Source organism: Homo sapiens, chromosome 8 (assembly GCF_000001405.40).
Source record: "Homo sapiens chromosome 8, GRCh38.p14 Primary Assembly".
NCBI classification, from domain to species: domain Eukaryota; kingdom Metazoa; phylum Chordata; class Mammalia; order Primates; family Hominidae; genus Homo; species Homo sapiens.
In genome coordinates, this window is record NC_000008.11 from 58,065,226 (window position 1) to 58,086,691 (window position 21,466).

General features: G+C 41.9%; 1 protein-coding gene across 6 annotated transcripts in view, besides 1 other annotated feature; it reads left to right on the forward strand.

Annotated features, from left to right (window-relative positions):
• Positions 1-21,466, forward strand: part of FAM110B (family with sequence similarity 110 member B) — a 154,262-nt gene that overhangs the window by 70,703 nt on the left and 62,093 nt on the right. For 4 of the 6 annotated variants that reach the window (NM_147189.4, NM_001377989.1, XM_047422400.1 and 1 more), the window contains one exon: positions 10,310-10,398. The gene's annotated coding sequence lies outside the window, so the exon portion shown is untranslated. Of the gene's footprint in view, positions 1-4,982; positions 5,163-10,309; positions 10,399-21,466 lie in introns of those variants that run through there. The other 2 variants (NM_001377997.1, NM_001377998.1) reach the window with 2 other exon arrangements.
• Positions 885-1,386: an enhancer, noted in NCBI's record as "H3K4me1 hESC enhancer chr8:58978669-58979170 (GRCh37/hg19 assembly coordinates)". NCBI's record gives its function as "activates a minimal SCP1, AML or CMV promoter by ChIP-STARR-seq in primed H9 embryonic stem cells {active_cell/tissue: H9 hESC(primed)}" and the evidence as "EXISTENCE:reporter gene assay evidence [ECO:0000049][PMID:30033119]".

The following is a 21,466-nucleotide window of genomic DNA, read 5'->3' on the forward strand; positions in this document are numbered from 1 at the left end:
TGATGGGGTTGAATGGGACTACTTCAAATTATCAGAACCTCCATATAACTGAAATGGTAGACATTACGCTTTAGAAGACAAAACTGAAATTTAGGATATTTGCTCATGTATTGTTACTTAAAATTTTATAGGAATTATTCCACGGTCCATGTAGAAAGAATCCCAGGTACTTTAGGTAGTACAGAGATGAATAATGAGGTAAACACTTTCATAACCTAGAGGATGCCTATTAACATCCGAAAACATGGTATGATTTGAGAACAGAAGGGAAGCTAAAGTCTTAGGATGACTTCTGCAACAGAATTCATAGCTCTCATTAAACAATAATATCTATTTATGATTATAATACCTAATTATTATTAGGTTGTAATATGTCATTATTATGGCTTTATTATATATTAGATTAATCATATCCAGTTACTATGCCCATGGGATGATTATTAATAATTTTTGTGTGTAGGAATGAATTGAGTGTTAGGAATGAATTGAGTCTGGAGTTGCTGAGCAAGTCCTGTAACCACCCTGGACCATTTCCGTATCTGTAAGTGGGAAGGTAAGAATACCTACCCAACAGCATTTTGGGGATTCTCAAAGCAGATACTATATGTGACGTTTCCTTTGCAATTTTAAAGCCGTGTTCAGGTTTAGTCATTGGCATTGTTGAATCTGTCTCCTTCCCTGGTTTGGAAGGTCCTTGTACTCCTCATCCTGACACAGCATTTGGCAAATGATAGGAGTAAATAAATACTAGTTAAATGTCATTATGAGGACAGGGAGGAGGAGCCGTGATGACAAGGAAGTATATGAGAACCATGTTCTGGCCCCAGCATGAGAGTCCTAGTAACCTCTTTAATTCATGCCCCTTCCAGAGCCTCGTAGTACCCCGCCCCCTTCACCAGTACTATAAAAAGCAGATCATTTGAGGAAGAACAAAAACTAGGCTTTGAGAAGACACTCCAAGATGCACAACTGACTTCTAAACCGAGCCCTGCAGAGAAGACTCGTGCAGTCTGCTCAGGGTTTTTGTACCCAGCAAGGTCATTGTCCAACACTATTATCCCTCTCAGCGGGCGACCTCCCTGAGAACTCACACTCGGTGTTCGGGGCTGATGCGCAGGTACTGGGGAGATGCTGAGGACCTCTTCAGGCAGTGAAGCTGCCTCATGGCACAGGGATGCCAAGTGTCTGTGGAGGAGCTGGGGCCAGGGCTGCTGCCCATGGCCTTTGGAGCAGCAGGAGTGACTTCCAGCAGCCAGTTTCAGTCTGTTCCAGGCCATCCAGGCCACAGCTGAGTAAGTGTCTGGTATGCCACACTCTTCACAAAAAAAGAAAGACTGCTGTTTGAGTGTCAGGAACAGAAAAGGAAGGGGCACAAGCTCCCCGGACTCTTGCCCGCCAGTTGTCTTGCCCCTGGTAGCCAGAAGGAGACTTTCACAGCCTGGGTACTCTTTTCTTTTCCTCGGTGTGGGGTGATCCTGGTGGCTCCCCGGACCTGGCTTGCGTTGACTAGGGAGCGGATCGTTGGTTTCTCTGCCTGCAGTGACTTCATGTTGTGGCTTGAGGTCCCCTGATAGAAATGCTGCTCAGCACTCAGCCCTCCAAGCTGCCCTCTACTCATGTGGGCTGGGGCCCAAGGCTCCTGCTGGATCACAGCTCAAACGCCGGTCCTTTAACATCAGCCGCAATAGCCCTACGTGCAGCCAAGCCTCCTTCTCAGGCCCTGGTGCTGTTCATCAGAGCAGAAACAGCTCTCCAGGACCCTTCTCCTTAAGATAGTGTTTGACCAGCAACTGAAACTGAGATACTTCCTGCCAGAATATTATGATCTCTCTAAAGTTACCTGGAACCCTGGCTTTCAACAGAATCATTTTTTATGCGTGAACCCTAACTTTTTTCCAAGGGGAAAAAGCTGTAACAGTTGTAACAATTCTATGTGAAAATTCTGGAAACACAGCCTCATTTTCAGTCTCCAGGGTTAGAGAATGAGAACAGAACTTGAGGAAATCCATGCAATGAGGCAGACGGTTTCTGTAGTGCCTGCTCCTCCTTGCCAGTACAGCAAATGTAAAAAGTACACGTCTGCATTCTGTGAGCCAGGAAGAGTAGATGAGGGTTTCGACTTGGAAGGTAATGGGAATCTACAAAGATCTAGAAGGAGAGAAGCTGTGGTCAGACCCTCAGGGAGCTTGAGCCAAACAAACCCTTTCCTCCTCTAGTGTGTATGGTTGTGTCTCCTCCTTCCTCCTCCATCCACTGCCCTCTGCCAGCCTCTCCACGACCTTCACAGCTCTTGAATATCTTTTGCCACACTCCAGCTGAGGAAGCCAGCAAACCTGCTTCAGACTTAGCCAGATCCTGCACCCCTCTCATGTGAGCATCCTGTGCTGAGCTGCAGTTTACCTGATCTTTATTGCTTATTTGTTAATCACTTAATGAGCATTCCCACATTACAACAGAAGCTCCTTTAGGAATCAGAATGCTCTGTTATTCCCTACAGTATTTCCAGGGTGCAGCACAAGTCCTTACACATAGTAAGGGCCTAACATGATTCACTGAGTAAACAAATGATTTTTCAGAATCAAAAGTGTGTTGACTGAAGTTCAAAGACAAGAGGACTCATTCCAGAGGTTGTATACATAGGCCCCCCGCAGCCAAGTGGCAATGAGAAAGATTCCCAATGAACTGTTACTCAGTTCCAAAACAAATACTGGGTCTGAACATGTTGAAAGATAAGACCCAAGAAAGGACAGTAGCTTTCTTCTTTTAGAAAGTGTCTGTTTAATGTCTTCTACTAAACAGGCATGAAACAAATTAATTAAACAGCTTTTTCAGTGCCTATTTTGAGCTAGCAGTCTGTTAAATTAAGAGGAAGGCAGAAGCTGTTAGATGTTTCCTAGAGAAATGCCTGGAAGTGTTACTAGCCTGTATCCTGGCAGCCTTCAGGGAGCTGTGCCTTAGGCCAAATCTCTGAAGCCAATTCCTCTTGGAGTTTTTACCTCCTGGTAATGGTGATTGCACTCTGATAATTCACTAGGATGATGCTTCAAGGTAGCACACACAGCTCTCATTTTCTTTAGCCAATTATCTCCATCATATTTTTTCAGGGTTTGCGTATGTGTTTGCATTCCAGCACAAGTTTTCACTCTTGAATTTATGGACCATGAGTTTCTGTGCTTTCCCTTGAAGTTTATGGTCCATGTCATTCCTTTCACTGGTTTGTTTCCCAACAGTTTGTGGTACACAAAGATTGGAGGATGAAATGCCCCTTTGCCAATAGTCCTGTTTCTTGGCTACTAATTAATCTGGTTCCTCAGAGCAAATCATAATGCCTCTTGAGCATGTCAGCTTTTTGTAAAGTTTTTTAGCTAAAAATAAAAAAAAAAAAAACTACAGAAAAGGGAAGTTTGCATTTTATCTTTGATCTTTGGAATGGAATTTGACTGGTAGAACATACCCACTTGTAGGAAATATGAAAAAAACCATTTAACATTTACAGATTTGATTAGATCAGCTCAGGACTGCTAATTCTGTAGAACACATTGAGAAGAAAGAAATTAGGGGAAAAGAAGTAGATAAACAACTCTCAGAACGGAGAGTTGCATTTGACTGGCTGACTTCTCTCCCTTTTCAACATAAATTTGTCATTTTAAATTTAATCCAACTCCTTCTAATTAAAACTTTTCCCAATTTATATTCCATAGAAAACATTTTTAAAATTTATATCATTAATAAAAATAATTAGAAGCCCTTAATTTCCTGAAAATTTATTTTTAAGATAGCTTTGTATAGAATCAAGTGAAAGTAGTGACTATTATGTATCTAAAAAGAAGTAGGGGAAATAATTTGCCTTATAACAGTGAATACCAATAATGGTTCTGTGTGATTAATCAACCCTACCATTAGCTTCTCAGCCTTCATGGCTTCAGAATAGTATTTCTGACAGAACTGTACGATGGAGACATGTTGAGGTACTCTCTTGAGTGCTGTGATGCTGGAAAGAAAGGGAGACAATATGGAGTGGTTGAGATCACTACTACTCATTAGAGCTTAGTATAGAGCCCAGAATCCACCCTGTGCCAGGCCCTGTGCTAAGCACTTACAGCTCATTGGCAGTAACTCTTCGAGGTGGCTCCTATCATTGTCTTAGACACAGAAATGCAGTTACTTGCCCAGGGTCACAGCGCTAGGTAATGGAGATCCAGAACTGTAACCCCGGCAGTCTGGCTGTGAGAACGCATGTTTTTCACCCACGTATGTATCACAGGATTTGGCTTCTAGAAGTAGTTTGGCCGTTCAGTTGTGTAGTGGCCAAATGTGTTTAATTTTTCCTTTTACAATAACTTCTGAGATCCCTTTTCTGTCCCTTATAACTGCGAATTAATCACTGTAGTCAAGATTATGATTTTTGACACCTTGATTAGCACTTTTCCACTATAGATAGAAATTTGCATGGTATTTCCAACTATATTGAAGAGAGATTAATTAGCACTTTATGACAAATATGTGGCAAATTGTTAATTAGGGTAAATAAAGTAAGACTCAGATTTTATAGCACCACTATTATTTTCACAGTATCGATTTTATTATTTATTCTTAATGCTGGAATCTGATAAGCTTAAGTAAGCCGATAGTGCTATACATTGATTTAACCACTCTTTGTTTCTCTAGATTTGAGGAAAATAAGAACACACTTTAAAAATCACTTATAGTTTATAAGGTGACACATTAATCCTCAAAATGACAGGAAATCGAGATGATTTTGTCTATGAGGTTTAATTTATTAAAATTGAATTTTCTCCTGTGCTTTGCTCCAATGGCTCTGTGCTAGCAAACCAGCTATAATTAGATTAGCAGCCTGCTAAACGCCGGTGACAGCCTGTGTCTCAGAGAGCATGTGCTGGATTCCGCATGTGCCTTTTCCTCATTGGTTGGTGGCGTTGCTGCTCGCCCGTGTGATAGGTTTCCACAGTAATCTTTATGCTGCATTAGAGACATAGATACAGAGGTGCTGTACTGTGTTCTTGCAACGGTGGAGGTGCTCGGCTGGTAACGTTAAAGAAGGAATAAGGCGCCCGACAGAAGGCGTTTGTCTTTGTTGTGGAGCATCAGCGTTAAGGACAGCCGGCTGCTGTGGGAGGTCAGTGAAGGAGGCTCAGTTCATGGTAATTACTTAAGTCTGTCTCTCACGAAAAACACGGCCATGCGTGAAATGAAGTATGTTCATCGTGTCATCTGTTTAATCTGATCTTGCTTTGTTAATACCATGGGTACTCCAGCATTCCATATGAAAATACATTCTCCCGCAGGCTTGCCTGGTAAACAGCTACCCTGTTTATGGTATTCACCAAGGAATAATGTTTTTACCTGGATTCAAGAGTGCATGTGTGTGCTTGGGAGTGATGCTTACCGACTCGCTTCTGTTTTGGAATGCCCAATGTTGCATCAATTTGGGTGTCTTTGTAGGTGTGTTTCAGTACCCAGTAGACTTTGTTTGCATTGAGTCCACACTGTCCTGAATAATGAGCGATCAGGAAGAATTTAGTGAAACACACTCTAATTAGGACAGGGCAGTGACTTTCCTGATGTTGAAGCTGTGCCTTAGCAGAAGTAATGTGCTATTGTTTCTTTAAAGATGTGTGCAGCCTTCATTTTGGATGGTTTTCTTTGTCTCACCTTTTGTAGTTTTTATTAAGCCTTTTGAATACAGAGAGGGTTAACATATCCCATTCTGCCAGAGATATTTAAAGTGTATATTTAGCTGTGCTTGAAAGAGAAATTTTCGTCTCATGGCTTTGTTTAGCAGGGACATTGAGTTAGGAGTTGAAACGAAGTCGCAGGAAGGTGGGGTTCTTACCACTTACTTTGTCTACTGTTTGACAACATTTTTATTTCTATTAATTTTTTCCTGAAAATTGATAATCTTAAATAATCTGGGATTAAAAAAAATGGTACATTCTAAAAGAAAAATATTTAAATGGGCAAGGCTGAGGTTCAAATATCCCAAACAAATGCAGCATGAGTTTTTCCTTCTCAGCGTCCCTTCTCCATAGTGTCGTATTTTATACCAAAAACGCCTTTGTTTTTACTTATTCATCAAACTTAAAAATTGATGTCCTTCCCATATCAGACTGTAGAGTCCACAGAAACTTGTGTATTGAGTCACCAGTCACACGGCTGGCTGCCAGCCACCACGCGTCTGCTGTCACCAGAGCCTTGCTGATCTCTGAAAACCATCAGGAATTATTTCTCTGCTCCTGAAAAACTAAACGTTGCAATTTTAATGATTTGTTCAAATACCTGCTCTGATCTAGAACTATGTTCTGGTTAAAGGGGTTCTGTACTTTCTTTGACAGAGTAAACTTCCGAGTACTTACCAACCGTGCCTCCCTCCCCACCCCACATTTCCTTTCAGGTCCATCCTGGCAGATAGTAAGTCATCCAGTACAAAATGCATCCAAATAACATTTTTAAGGGGAAAAAAAGGAATATTATGAAAGCTTGCCATGAATTGTAATAGAGTATCGTCTATAATAAGAAAGTTTGATAGTTGTTGCTTGTAATACAGTGTCTTTGTGACTTGAACCAGCTGGCGGCATTCTCAGGTTTTAGACACCTTGTGTGGTGAAATGAACCTGGGAACAGTCGTTCTACTTCACATTCCACTTCCTTGATACAAACCACGCCTGTTCCCATTGCAGAAGGGTGCGTATCAGTAGCGGAGAGTGCAGTTTCAGTGAGAGTGGTTTTGCTCTTTCCAGAAGTCCAGGCTCCTCTCTCGTTTCCCTCCCTCCCTCTGCCTGCTGTGCTCTTCTATGTGGATGTGCAGAAAAACCTTTCTGCGAATCAACAGTTAGGCTTGGACACTCATTTTGGGAAGGATAAATTGGTGTGGATCCATCTCGCTCTCTGTGTGTCTCTCTATCTCCTGAAATGCTCCCTAAATTGCCTTAGTCTTAAATAATTTCCAAGAAGGTTTTTTCCACTGTGAAAGCCTTGGGCACACATAAACATTGTCTAGAGTTCCTTTTGGGCAGAGCCCCTTTGAGGTGTGTGTCATGGAAAGATGTAGGAAGTAGCTCTAAGTGATGTCAAATGCCTAGGGCTGGGTCTTAAAGACTTTCTGTGTGGAGGAGGAACTTTTTTAAAAATTTAAATATGAATGTATCTGTGTACTGTGTAATGCAACGGTATTATGATATCCCAAAGGGACTTTTAACATACACCAAAGAGGCTTCTTTATAACAGAATTAAACAAGTGTTATTTATGTTTTTGCAAAGTAACCAAAATATGTGCTTTTATTTTCAGATGTATCACGTCTTAACTTTTTAAAAACTAAATTAAGGAGACTCTTTACATATTTCTGTGACAAGAAAATAAAAAGAAAGTTTTTGGACACTTTAAAATGTTGTTCTTTTTCCTCGTTAAAATTCCATAGCTCTTTACTGATGACATTTCTGACCAAACAACAATAGGTCTATCAGCATAAACATACATATCATATTTTAAAATCAAAACATTTTCTGTTATAAGGGATACTTTCTAATGTTTTCTCCTGAGGTCTCAACAGGAAAAGTGGTCACCAGTTTAAAAACTGAAGTCATTCCATGAAAAATATGATGTGCCGCAAAGTAACTGGGCTGAACAAGGTGTGGAAAATATTTGTGAAAAGGAAAGAGAAATGGGTAGTGCATGATATTGCATGTAAGAGTTTCCATGGCAATATCTATAGGTGGATTTGTGGCTGGTCACTTGGCATCTGTCATAATCCAAAAACCTGAAAGATATTTGTCATTAGCAATTGATAAATATTTCAGGGTTGACCTGTTAAAGTTGCCGGGATTGGAAAAATATGTAAAGAGATATTAGGCCTCTCATCTAAGTGTAGTTATTTTTCACTGTAGTATTCCATGATCATGGACACTTAACCATATGCTAAGCTCTGTGCTAAGCTTTATCGAGAGAAAATAGAAGGCACAGTCCCTTCCTGTAAGAAGTGACTACTGAGGAAGAGAAGCAGCTAAATTAATAATAATAGGGCTGCACGAGGCAGACAGAGAGACATAGTTTGGTGATACCAAGGAGGGGCAACCAGTTTTTTAGAAAGGGGGTGAGGAGTGCCAGGGAGGGCTTCAGGAGAAGAGAGATGGTACCCAATCCAGAACTTACTATTTCCTGCCCATCTTGACATCACCTTCACAACTCAGCATTAAGTTGAAGCTGGCATAGCTTCATATCCTGTTTTTATATTTTTTATTGACTTCCATACATGTAAAATATCATTTCTCTTCTCCCTGCTAACTCTTCTCAGAATACACATTAGGTTGTTGCATGGAAATATGTTAATAGATTTACATCATATGGGAATTGAAGTTTTCTTTAACGTATCCAGAATTTAGAAATGCATCTTAGATAAATCACCAAACACTTTGATTGCTATTATACTCTTAAGTAATTTAGTGATTACTTTTGGAACTGTTTGCATTGGCAGGAATTGTCATTTCCTCTTGGCTGCATGTAGACTCCTGAAAGTCATTTCTCTTCTATGTGCTCATTAAAGACAAGCTTGTAAAATTTGAGACTGTATTGTAACACTTGGATTTCACCTTGAAGGCATCTGCTTTTGTTACACATTTAATTGGATTTAAATTTTAACTCTTGACAAATTTGGAGGGGGAGTCCACTTTAGGGGTCACCTGTTTGCACAAGATCTTGCCACCAGTAAAATCTCTACCTGGAAACAGATCTTGCATTTCTACTCCTATAGGTCCTGCGGTCAGGAAATCCTCCTAATTCTGTCATGTGTTACCCTAGCCTGGCTTCCACACTTACTTTTTCAAACCCTGTAAAATGCGCAGGCTTTACTTTTCCCACCCTCCGGACCCCACCCCACTGCCTAAGCTGGATGGTAGTCCCTTAGAGCAGCTCTCTGACCCAGCGGACCTCCAGGACAGGAAACAATTCTCCTCTGTTGCTCTCTTAACTCTAACTCTGGTTTGTTTTTTCCCTGTCTCCTTTGCTACCCCCCTGTAAGTAGCTATTCTCCAACGCTCTGGCCTTCATCAGCTTGCCTGTCCATGCCACCTGCTTTCCATCGGTGGGCCCGTCCATTGCCACACAGTGTCCACCAATCCCCCACACTCACAGCCACACCAACCTCCTGTGCCTTTGCACAGCGCGGAGAATGGCACTGCTGCTCCCCCTGCTGCCTGGGATGTGCTTCCCCAGAGAGCCCATGGCTTGTTCCCTCACTGCCTGCAGGATTTCACTCTAATGGAGCCACCTCAGTGGGACATTCTGAGATAGTATTTACTGTATTTGTTTATTTCTTTAGTTTCCCCTTTCTGGAATATAAACTCCATGAGATCAGAGGTTTTTCGTCTTAACCCCCAGAGCCTTGAATAGTACTTGGTCCATAGAAAGTGTTCAGCCAGTACCTGTTGAATGAATGAGAGAATTAATGATTCCCGGCATGGGGGTGCTACAGTGCAGATGAACGGTGCTCCTGGGGCAATCAAGAGCTTTGCCCCAGCCAGCCGGAGTGGTGCTGCGGAGCCCCTCACCTTGAATGGGCCTCAGTTTCTGGTTCTGTAGATGGGGAGTGTGTACCAGGGACTCTGAGGCCCCTTTAAACTCTTATCACTCTTTCACAGCCCTGGAAGTAAGATATGATGCCACATAAAATGTTATTTATGCAACTCATCACAACTTGATACTATATTCTTCTTTCTGCATAATTGCTATCCATGGTTAAATGTCTGTTTTAAAAAAGAAACAATAGTTGAAGTAAACAAAATAGTTTCCAAATGAAGTTGTAAAAACTAATGCATTTTGGTGTACTGACATGTTTGCTGTCTTTTTTTTTTAATATATTGATCAGTTTCTATTTTTATTATTTTTGAGACAGAGTCTCGCTCTGTCACCCAGGCTGGAGTGCAGTGACATGATCTCAGCTCACGGAAACCTCCACCTCCCAGGTTCAAGTGATTCTTGTGCCTCAGCCTCCCGAGTAGCACCACCACACTGAACTAATTTTTGCTTTTTTTTTTTTTTGTGTGTGTGTGTGTGTGTGTTTTGTAGATACAGGGTTTCATCATGTTGGGCAGGCTGGTTTCCAACTGCTGCCCTCAAGTGATCTGCCCCCCTCGGCCTCCCAAAGTGCTGGGATGACAAGCGTGAGCCACTGCACCCAGCCTGTATTGACTAATTTTTAAAAGAATTACCACTGTCTGTTGCTAAATGTATTTAATAGCTTGCCTATTTTTATCAAATAAAAAGGCAATAACAATCTTTTCTTCCTTTGATTTTTAGCAATTTCCTGCTGCAGAGAGCATTTTAAGAAAGGACAGCATTCCTGTGACCTCTGCCTACCATCCATAAAATACTCATTCCCCTCTCAGGTAAGCATATTGCTTTGCTTTGATCCATTCTGAGAAGGAGATATTGATTCTCTACGAAAACCTGTGTCATTATTGCACTAAGACAAAGAAGCTGAGGTTTCAGATATTTTGCTGTCTGGCAATAAATAAATAAATAAATATTTAAAAAATAAAATAAAATAAAATCCCCACCTTTTGAGGTCCTTGCCAGGACCAAAGTATCGGTGATGGCTGTTTGCCGTTCCAAGGGGTTTCATGATACACCTTCTACATATCAGCTAGTTATTAGTTTGTTAAATGCTGTGTGCTATTTATCAGGTAATCTCCCAGGAGTTTAGAAGTCCTCTGTGTTTTAAAGAAAATTTTATTTTTTGTCAATGATGGGGTTTTGCCCTGTTGCCCAGGCTGGAGGGCAGTGGTGTGTTGCTCATTGCAGCCTTGAACTCCTGGGGTCAAGTGATCCTGCTGCCTCCACCTCCTGCGTAATTAAGCCTATGAATGTGCACCACCATGCCTGGCTAATTTTTAAAAATTTTTTCATAGAGATGGGGTCTCACTATGTTGCCCAGGCTGATATTAACTCCTGGCTTCAAGCAGTCCTTCCACCTCGCCGTTGCAAAGTGTTGGGTTTACAGGCATGAGCCACCTGGCCTGGTCAGAAGTTTACTCTCTGTGCTCGGGGAATGAGATGGTGGTGCAGGGTCAGCAGCAAGGGCACTGGGAGTGGGTGACCCGCAGAGATCTTTGCAGGCTGGCCCCTTAAGGGAGGCAGGGTCAAGAGAGCAGAACTTAAATTCCAGTCCAGGAACTGAGACTGAGGAGGTGGAGCATCTTTGGAGGATGGCCGACCAGCAGGCCTGGGAATGGCAGGGTGCTTTTCCCCACGTCCCCACCACTCCCAGGACTCCTTTCTGGTCCCCACAGCTGATGGAGAGCCTGGGAACATTTTTTCCAGGTCTCTTCCTACAGCCAGACCATCTTCCAGGAAAGAGCTAAGGAAGTGGAAGAATGGTGGGGTCAAAGTACAGATGATTCCCTCTTTTATGGAGGGACTGAGAGCTCAATAACACCAAATGAGGAGGTTAGAAATGTTTAGGAAAATAAAGAAGCTCTCCAGTTACCTCATTTCCACCATGAGTTGAAGAGTGTAAAGAGCAACCCTCAGGAGAACAGAGCCTCAGCCTCAGTGCCCACATTCTGAGTGGCCCCATGCTTGGATTTGATTGACAGCCTTCCTCTAGCTTCCTTTCTAGCATCCATTTGTAATGTACTCTTGCTTATATAGTAAGCCATGTATTTTGTAATTTATTATTACTGCATTATGCAGGATGTTGTCGGGTGATATGATCTCTTTTCTAGAACCTAAGAATCTAACTTAGGCTGACAAATAAGAATCAACCTGTGCCAGACAGAATTCTGCAATATGTAGAAACAGGAATTAAAGAGAAAGCCAACAACACCCCTCAGTGCTATAACCTGAAGTCTCTCACTCTTATCGCCATCTTACTTATCTTCTTATCTCAGATATAAGAAGCTCTGATACGAAAGCCGGGGGCTCCTGTTGGCTGGAAGGAGGTTTGCATCTGCCATCGCCAGCACTTGCGGAGCTGAGGTTGTAGAACTGTACCCGAGTGCAGGTGTACTTAGTGGGGAATACTTTCCAACAGGCCCATGCTTTTCATTCTGCACCATCCTAGAGAGCTGAGGGGTTTCCTAGGACATGGGACTTGCAGTGCTAGAACTGGGAAGTCAGAGCAAGCCAGGACATGTTGCTCCCTCTTGTGATCCCACCACCCCTCCTCTCTCTTGTATGTGGCTGCGTGATGATCTGCTCACCAGGATGGCTGCTGACTGCAGTTGAGTTTGCAGCCCTAGTGGCCAGGGAAGAACTACAGAGTTGAGTAGACCTGGCCTTCACCTCAGCTCGTCTGCTTAGTAACCAGTTGGATGGACTGGGATGGTTTGCTTTATTTCTGTGAGCCTCAGTTTCTCATATGCCAAGTAAGAAGAACAGCAAGGCAGTGGGGGTATAGGGAAAGTAACAAGACAGAGCAATGGAGATACCTGATATAGCCTAGGTACACAAGAAGGGGTAGGTCCCTCCCCCCATCAAGGCAAACCATCCAGAGAAGACAGTGAGTTACCTTCACAGGCATAAGTAACTGGCTTGAGCTTTATCAGTACTATTATTTACCTAGATCAGGAAAGTTAGAAAGAACTTAGCCATGTGACTTACCAACACAGTGTCAGTTGGGTTGCAGGCGTAAATCCTAACCCCGATACCTAATTCTTAAATAACCTTAAGTCAATGTGTGCAAGTTACTTGGAGTTGTTTTTTATATCAGTTTTCCCATAAATAGATTGAAACATTTTTAAAAGTGCTTTAAAGAATGTTTTGAAAAGCATAATTTGTTTCTTATCTGTATCCAAATGTTTTTAACTTTCAGGTTATTATTGCATTTAAAGTTTATTAAAACATTTTTCTTTCCTAGATTCTTAAATTACAGATAAGCAGCCTTATGAATTCATATGCATTATTATCGCCATTAAATTTTCACTGCTCTCAATATGTGAGTTTAAGATTACTTTGTTTTTAGAGAACACACTGGGTCTTTTTAAAAGTGGCTCCTTGTTTAAGGAAACTAAAAGGCAAATGAAGTCATGAAATAAAATGATATTGTAATGTTCTTTTGGTCAAACCTTTTGGAGTTTGTTCATCCTAGAATATGAAACGTCCTGAGTAGTGTATATATGTAAGTCATTTTTAAAGGAATACACAAACACCAATTTCTATGCATTATGCATGTAATTACAATTTCAGGAAATAAGCTTGAAGACTTCCTTTGTTTTTTGTTTCTTGTTATCTTATTCAAACTTAAGTAATTGATAAAGTCAGTTTCTCCTTGAAGGTTTCCTTTTTCAAAACTTCTCTCCAGATTTTTGCCTTTTTTTTTTTTTTTTTTTTTGAGACAGAGTCTGGCTCTGTCACCCAGGCTGGAGTGCAGTGGTGCGATCTCGGCTCACTGCAAGCTCCGCCTTCCAGGTTCACGCCATTCTCCTGCCTCAGCCTCCCAAGTAGCTGGGACTACAGGCACCCGCCACCACGCCCGGCTAATTTTTTGTATTTTTAGTAGAGACGGGGTTTCACCATGTTAGCCAGGATGGTCTGGATCTCCTGACCTCGTGATCCGCCCGCCTCAGCCTCCCAATGTGCTGGGATTACAGGTGTGAGCCACCGCGCCCGGCCAGATTTTTGCCTTTTTAATATGGTGCGTGCTAGATACTTGAGAAATTGCTCAGAACAACAACAACCCTCGTGCATTTATTTTGCATGTTAAATGGGCCTCACCAAAAATGCTTGCTGGTTTTCCCCAGACACCTTTTTTTTCCAACTCGGTGTTTCCTAAAGCTGGTCCTCCAGAATGAGAGGTTTGTACCTTGTCAATGACTCATCATCCTCTCATGCCAGCACCCCTGACTTTTGCCTCTCCCCAGATCAGCTGTTTGCCAAGAGAATGACTCAGAGATCAGATTCCAGCAGTACAGTCAGGTGTGGCTCCTCTGAGGCCATCTCAGCTGACCTTGAGCAAGGTCTTCTCAGGAATCAGGAGAGTCGGCACGACAGTGAGACCCACTGTGCCGGGAGCCAGGCTTGCTTTCTGCTTTTTTAAAAAGAGGAGGAGGAAAGGGCATTCTCTGGGAAAAGAAGCAGGGATTTTAGATGTTTTCTTTTACTTATTCACAAAAATTGTATACACTTCTCTAAGGGTAGATCTAGGGATAGTCTCCCTCATACTCAGAAGGAAGTATAATTCTATTTTTGAGGATTTAACACACACTTATTGTGAAGTTCAAAAAATTATTGATTGGAATTTAAATTATCAAATTGGCAGTAGGGTGTTGGTGGCTTACGCTTGTAATCGCAGCACTTTTGGAGGCTGAGTTAGGAAGATCGCTTCAGACCAGGAGGTCAAGACCAGCCTGAGCAACACTGTGAGACCCTGTCTCTACAAAAAAAAATTTTTTAAATTAGCCAGGTGTTGTGGCATGCGCCTGTAGTTCCAGCTGCACGGGAGGCTGAGGTGGGAGGATTGCTTCATCCCAGGAGTTTGAGGCTGCAGTGAGCTACGATCATGCCACTGCACTCCAGCCTAAGTGACAGAGCCAAGACCCTATCTTTAAAAAAAAAAAGAGTAATTTGACATATTAAAATTTTTTAAATCAAATGTAAGACAGATTCTGTGTTACTACCTGCATAGTTTATTAGTGGCTGTTATAATAGAAATTGTGTAATTGTAAATGTAGTCACTGTTTTCTTACAAAGATCAGCAGAGAGGAAGGATGGGCTACAGTTATGACCATGGACTGTAGAAGGACTGCCCTGTGGCCCTGTGCTGGAGACGTTATGTGCAGTTTTCACTTGCCCTTCAGAGAAGCATTAGAATCTTCAGTATGTAGATATGGGATATATGTAATATGGGTATCAGAGGCTAAACTTCAGACCAAAGGGCAACCATGTGGTTAGACATACACTGGGTATAAAGCCCAAGTCTACCCAAGGCTCTTCTATCAAACCTCTATCCAGCCCTTGCACACCAGTTAATTGCTTTACAATATCAGGGTCATACATGCAACAGGAAAGTCGGTTGAGGGAAGTCGGACAATGGGGAAAGTAGAATGGAAAGGTTACAAGGAAACATAAATGTCTGGTGGAATATTAGAATGATCTGTAGAAACCATGAAAATCTTCAATCAGCTAGAGTAGGAAAGAGGCCAAAAAGGTCATACAAAGAGGGAAAGAGACTGTTAGGAGGACACAGGTGAAAGAGAGGAGATTTAAACAGTGATTGCAGTTGTGCCAGGAGAAAACCTAGAGTTTCCAGACCTTCTCACTTTCTTTTCAACCTGTAAATCATGTGCTACCATCTCTAGGTGTGGACGCAGAAAGCACTCATGCATTCTGAGTACTCAGAGAAGTTCAGAGAGATGTGATGCTTGCCAGGACCCTGTGTTTAGTGAGCACTGGAGTGTCCTCTCCACACAGGTTTCCCTCTTCCATAGCATAGGATAAAAGAATGCTAAATATTCAATTCTGGTATCATGTGTGTGTATCTATGTTCAGAGATGCGACCAAAAACCTAAATATATTCCTAATCTGCATTTCTTCTGGAAATTCCTCCTATTCACCAGGGGAGCAATGCTGCCCTCTCCTTGCATGGTCTTTAGGCAGAGCTTCACAGAGCACTGGCCCTTCATGTTCCTGAAATACTTATGTTTTGCCTTTACTTGAGTCCTATGGGTCTAGTTCTCTATGATACATTTAAAACCAAGCTCCACATCATCCTTGGTCAAAAAGAGACAGCTTTCACTCACCATGACAGTCAGTGGAGACCTTTCCTCTGGGAAGAAGCCTCTCAAGTGACTGTCCCTTACTATGCCTGCCTGTTCAGGTGTTGAGCCCTGCTGACTCCTCCTCGAGGGCTCATGCCTCAGCACAGCCCTCTTCATCACCAAACAACCCCATTACTGACTTAGCCCTGTGCTGGTCACCTGCCTCTAGTTTCTGCTCCCACACCAGTCCATGTAAGAGGCAGAAAATTCTTTTTCTTATTTTTATTTTTTGAGACACAGTCTGGCTCTGTTGCCCAGGCTGGAGTGCAGTGGCACAACCTCAGCTTACTCCAACCTCTGCATCCCAGTTTCATGCGATTCTCCTGCCTCAGCCTCCCAAGTAGCTAGGATTGCAGGCGTGTGCTACCATGCCTGGCTAATTTTTATATTTTTGATAAAGACAGGGCTTCGCCATATTGGATACGCTGGTCTCGAACTCCTGACCTCAAGTGATCTGCCCACCTCAGCCTCCCAAATTGCTGGGATTATAGGCGTGAGCCACCATACCTGGCCAGAAAATTCTTTTACAGTTTTCATCCTGTTACTTCCCTGCTCTGAAACGTTGTTTCTCCCAGTTATCTGTCTACTAAATTTAAATTCCAAAGCCACCTCTCATCTGGGCTCTTCTGCTTACTCAAAGTCAGCGTCTGTTATTCTGCTCATGTTCCCTACACACCTGGTTCCTCAGAGCTTGTGGGCTGCGTCTTGCCCGAAATCCCCTATCCATTCCACTCTCTTAAAGTCCAAGAGTTCCTTTAGTGCCCGTTTCAAAAGTTACTTTTTCCTTTAAAAGCAATGGGTTTTTTTTTTCTTAGAATCTAAGAATTTTTGCCATTTATTCATTCAACAAATTCATAATTCATGCAACAAATTTCTTCACAATTTAATGTATACCATGTGCATTTATTTATAAGTAGTCTTGGAATTATTCTTTGCTGTCTGTGAGGGTTTATGTGTTATCTCTTAAATTGTATGATCAATTTATTTAAAACTTTTGCCTTCATCAAAGAACCTAGGCTCTTAGATGCTCAAGGGGATGAATAAATAAGCCTTGCCCTCCCAACTCTTCTGTACAGGGAGCTGCGAGCACATGGGCTAGGGTTGAAATCCTAGAGGAGATTGTAGATGGCTTTGCAGCATCAGCGCTATTCTATGGACTGATTCACTTCCTGAAGAGGAATGAAGTGATTTACCCACCCAGGAAGCCTTTGTGAAAATAAAAATTTTCATCAACAACACAGAATGGAAAGCTATTGTCAGTTCTTAACTGCCTATAGTAGAGTGACGTCTTAATGGGCATGTAGAGACAAACCATCTAGGGGAAAATAACTGCATCTCCTCTAGAAGGCAAAGCAGCCCCACTGACAGCAGAAGAAGGAGGAACTCAGTCTAAACTGTGAAGAACCAGTTCAGATTCTCCCTCCCATGTTGGCTTCTTATCCTTTAATCACCATTTATTCATCATTTACATTCTATGTCCTCAGAGTTCCTTATGACTGTGAGCACATAGTCATGTACATTCTTTAGTCTATGAGGACATTAAAGGCACTTGTGAAAATCTGATTTAAGTTACAGTAAAATTTTTCTGTCTCTCTCTAATAGACTATAAGCAAGTTGGGGGTAAGAATTATGTTTTAACTCTGAATCTGTAGAATCGAGCACAGAATATAGCAAACTACAGAGGATAAAGAAATGTTTGTGGGGCTGGGCACAGTGGCTCATACCTGTAATCCCAGTGCTTTGGGAGGCTGAGGTGGGAGGATCATTTGAGCCCAGGAAGTCGAGATCAGCGTGGGCAACACATCTCCTCATTGGTAGATGTGAGACCCCCATCTCCATTTTTGTTTTTTTTTGTTTTTTTTTTTTTTAAATGAGCATGGTTGCACACACCTGTGGTCCCAGCTACTTGGGAGCCTGAGGCGAAAGGATCACTTGAGCCTAGGAGTTTGTGGCTTCAGTGAGCTATGATCATGCCACTGTGCTCCAGCCTGAGTGACACAGAGCAAGACCCTGATTCTTAAAAAAAAAAAAAAAAATTAAGGAGATGTTTGTGGAATTTAATAGACTGAAGTTTTTTGTACATATGAAGGAAAGTCACTGTACGTTGCTCATCTATCTTTTTGCTCACTGCCTCTCACAAGCTCTGACAGCAACATCTTCAGATATAAGACACAACAGCACAGGGCTTAGCAGGGCTGGAAGCGCTATTTCACTGAAAGAGGGGAGACACAGTCTATTGCTGGAGAAAGAAAGGCAAAAATGAAGTCAGAAACAAAAGAGGAGAAGAAACAGAAGAAACTGGGTTATTTATGTTTAGTTGTAGTTGAACATTATGGTGCAGAATGGTAAGAACTTGGGTGAAACTTTAAACTAGTCAAAGTAAGGAATAATCAAGGCGTAATTAGCTTTATTCAAAGGCTGCTTGAATTTGGTCTCCTCAACTGCGTTTAAAATAGGGTTTTGTTTCTAGAATTCAGATTACATAGTTTATTTATTCATTTTTTAAATTTTGCTCAAATTGATTGTTCCCTGTGGACTCACAGATTCAATATTCAGAGATTCAATTATTTGTGATTGTCTCCACGTTCACTACTTGTGTTAATTCCGCTATTTCGGGGAAGTGGCACCTTTAAAAGCCCACACTCCAGGGCCAATGAAGAATACAGAATGCAGGCCACTCCCACCATCCACGCCTCCCCTGGGCTTCGTGTTCTGTATGTTAATTCTCTCATCATTTGCTGTTCCATTAAAAATTACGTATCCAGTGTCTAGTTTGCCTGGGGGTGAAATGGGGATTAAGAACCTTTCCCACCTTGAGACACTGACATTCTTGTAAAGGGATAAACACTCTATATTTGAAAAATCATCCTAAGAAGAACAGTAACTAGTAGTGCTGGAGTTGGAAGTGAAGAAAATGTGAGGAGATCCAAGAAAATGATGAATTTTAGGCAGAACTGAAGCTCTGGGTACATAGGAGAGTACGGCTAACTCCTGGTTGATCCGGATCAATGGCATATGAGAGAATCCACCACAGAACTGTGTGTATTTGAATCTTTGGTTCAAACTAGCTCACCATATTAGTGGTCTGTCCTGTGTATCTTCAGAAGTTACAAGGCTGTCTTTCCTGAGGTCAGCAGGCTACTGAATTGTGCTTATGACCAAGACCTTGCTGGCTGCCATCTGAATCATATATAGTGGAGGAAAAAATGAGTCAGTAGAAGGTATGGATGGTGTACACCTCGCTAAAGAGAAGATGAACTATAATATTTTCAAGCATCATTCTAGTGATTGTTGGCCTATAAGTAGTGTTTGATTTTAATTTCATTTCTAATTTATGTGGTTCTATAAAATTCTCTATGTTTTCCTTCCTTCCAGCAGTGGACTTGAATCTCCATTTTCCTTTTTTTTTTTTTTTGAGACGGAGTCTCACTCTGTCACCAGGCTGGAGTGCAGTGGTGTGATCTTGGCTCACTGCAGCCTCCGCCTCCCTGGTTCAAGCAATTCTCCTGCCTCAGCCTGCCAAGTAGCTGGGACTACAGGCACTCGCCACCATGCCCAGCTAATTTTTGTATTTTTAGTAGAGACAGGGTTTCACCATGTTAGCCAGGATGGTCTCGATCTCTTGACCGTGTGATGCTCCCACCTCAGGCGCTCAAAGTGCTGGGATTATAGGCATGAGCCACCGTGCCTGGTGAAATCTCCGTTTTTTAAACATGATTTTTCACTGGAAGTCTTACCACCATGTACACCTTAAACTCTCCATCCCCAGATAGAATGGGTTGTGAAGCTTCACTCTTTACCTATTCATGGGGATTATGTCCCTAGAGGCTGCTGTCAGGTGCCAGCAGGGATTTTATGGATCATTACCAAGGAAATGATGGTAAATGTCCCCACCGAGTGGCATTGGTTTCTAAGCATAGTACAAGGAGTAGGTTGCACCCTGCACCTCCCAGGACTTTCCCTCTGGACACTGTTTTTACAGAGGGTGTTAGAGTGGCTACACCGAGGCACAGGATGCTAGGGCAGTCAGAGTAGGGATTGACGCATCACTCTCTGAACCTGGCAATTGGCATCAAAAACAGGAGAAAAAGCAGGCTTCGTTTTCATTTACTCTCCTAGTTGTATTTGTGATTCAGCATTCCATGCTGTATTGGTAAAGGGAAGAAATTACTTTTTGTGGGGGTCATGCCCCCTTCCTTTAATCAACTGAAGAGTCTTGTAAAGCTGATGCACATGTAGGCAGGCATGGTGGCCCACACCTATAATCCCAGCCCTTCAGGAGTCCGGGGCAGGCAGATTACTTGAGGTCAGAAGTTAAAGACTAGCCTGGCCAATATGGTGAAACCCCATCTCTACTAAAAATATAAAAATTAGCCAGATGTGGTGGCGGGTGCCTGTAATCCCAGCCACTCGGGAGGCTGAGGCAGGAGAATTGCTTGAACCCGGAAGATGGAAGTTGCAGTGAGCCGAGATCGCACCACTGCACTCCAGCCTGGGTGACAGAACGAGACTCTGTCTCAAGAAAACAAACAAAAAGTTGATACACTTCTAGATTTAATTTAAGATTTTGACCATTGGCCTATGAGCCAGAGAGATGTTTGTATTGAACTTGGGCCTGAAAAAGTTTCACATTCATTTTTAGAGTATAAGGAATGCTGGAATACCTCTGGCACATTGATTTATGAAACATTTTAAGATCATGTTCACTTTCTTCTCCACCAGATATCTATTTTCTCTACTTTGAACCCCCCACAGATGACCCTGTTATGAAGTGTGCTGCATATGAAGTTTTTGCGGGGTGGTTTATCCCCCACTGCAGTTCTTGGGCACTGGCCATTCACACACGGAGCTCTAGCCTTTAGGGGCCAGTGCTCAATTAAAAAATCAATGGAATTAATATAAACCTGAGTAAATTATCAATGGGAAAGTATGATTTAGCTTACAAAATTAATTTGTAACTTTCCAAAATGTTTTCTGATTGGTGAAGCCAACTTCCCCAGAAGTAAAACTCCTTACGACCTCAACTCAATACCTGATACCTGGTTCTCACTTGACTGGCTTATAGGAGGGGCCTAATAAATGTGGCTAAAATGAAATTAACGCTGTGTTCATCACCTATGTACAGTGGTCATGTTCATAACCGAATCTGCAGCTCTTCTAAGGTAGTCTCCAAGAGGGTTAAGCCAAAGTAAATTGCCTCATTTGGAGCCTTTGAGAGCATCTCTCTTACTTTTAGCAGTCTTTGGTCACTACACATTAGATTAAGATGCTAAGTATAATAAAGAAAAAATTATATGAATATATGACTTTAAATCTACCATTAAGAAACAGGAAATTAAGAGATCGCTTGAAGACATTTTATGCCAAATCTGCAACAATTTTGAATTTCTTATTATATTTTATTAATAATACTTCATGTTATACATGTTTATAGTATCTTATTAATTTTAAACTCCACTATGTTTAAAACCATTTTATGATTATTAGACCCTTTCATTCAGTCAGTATCTTGTTTTTCAGACGACTGAAACCTGGCTTTGAAGTGCTACCTGAAGTGTTCTTAAGTCTCATACTGAGAAGTCACCTCTTTATTGGCACTTAACGTTACGCATAAATAGGACCACTGTGCACTTCTTAGGACATTCCACAGAGAGTGCTACTTCTGTTGTAAATTTGTGCAATATTGCTCTCATATGTA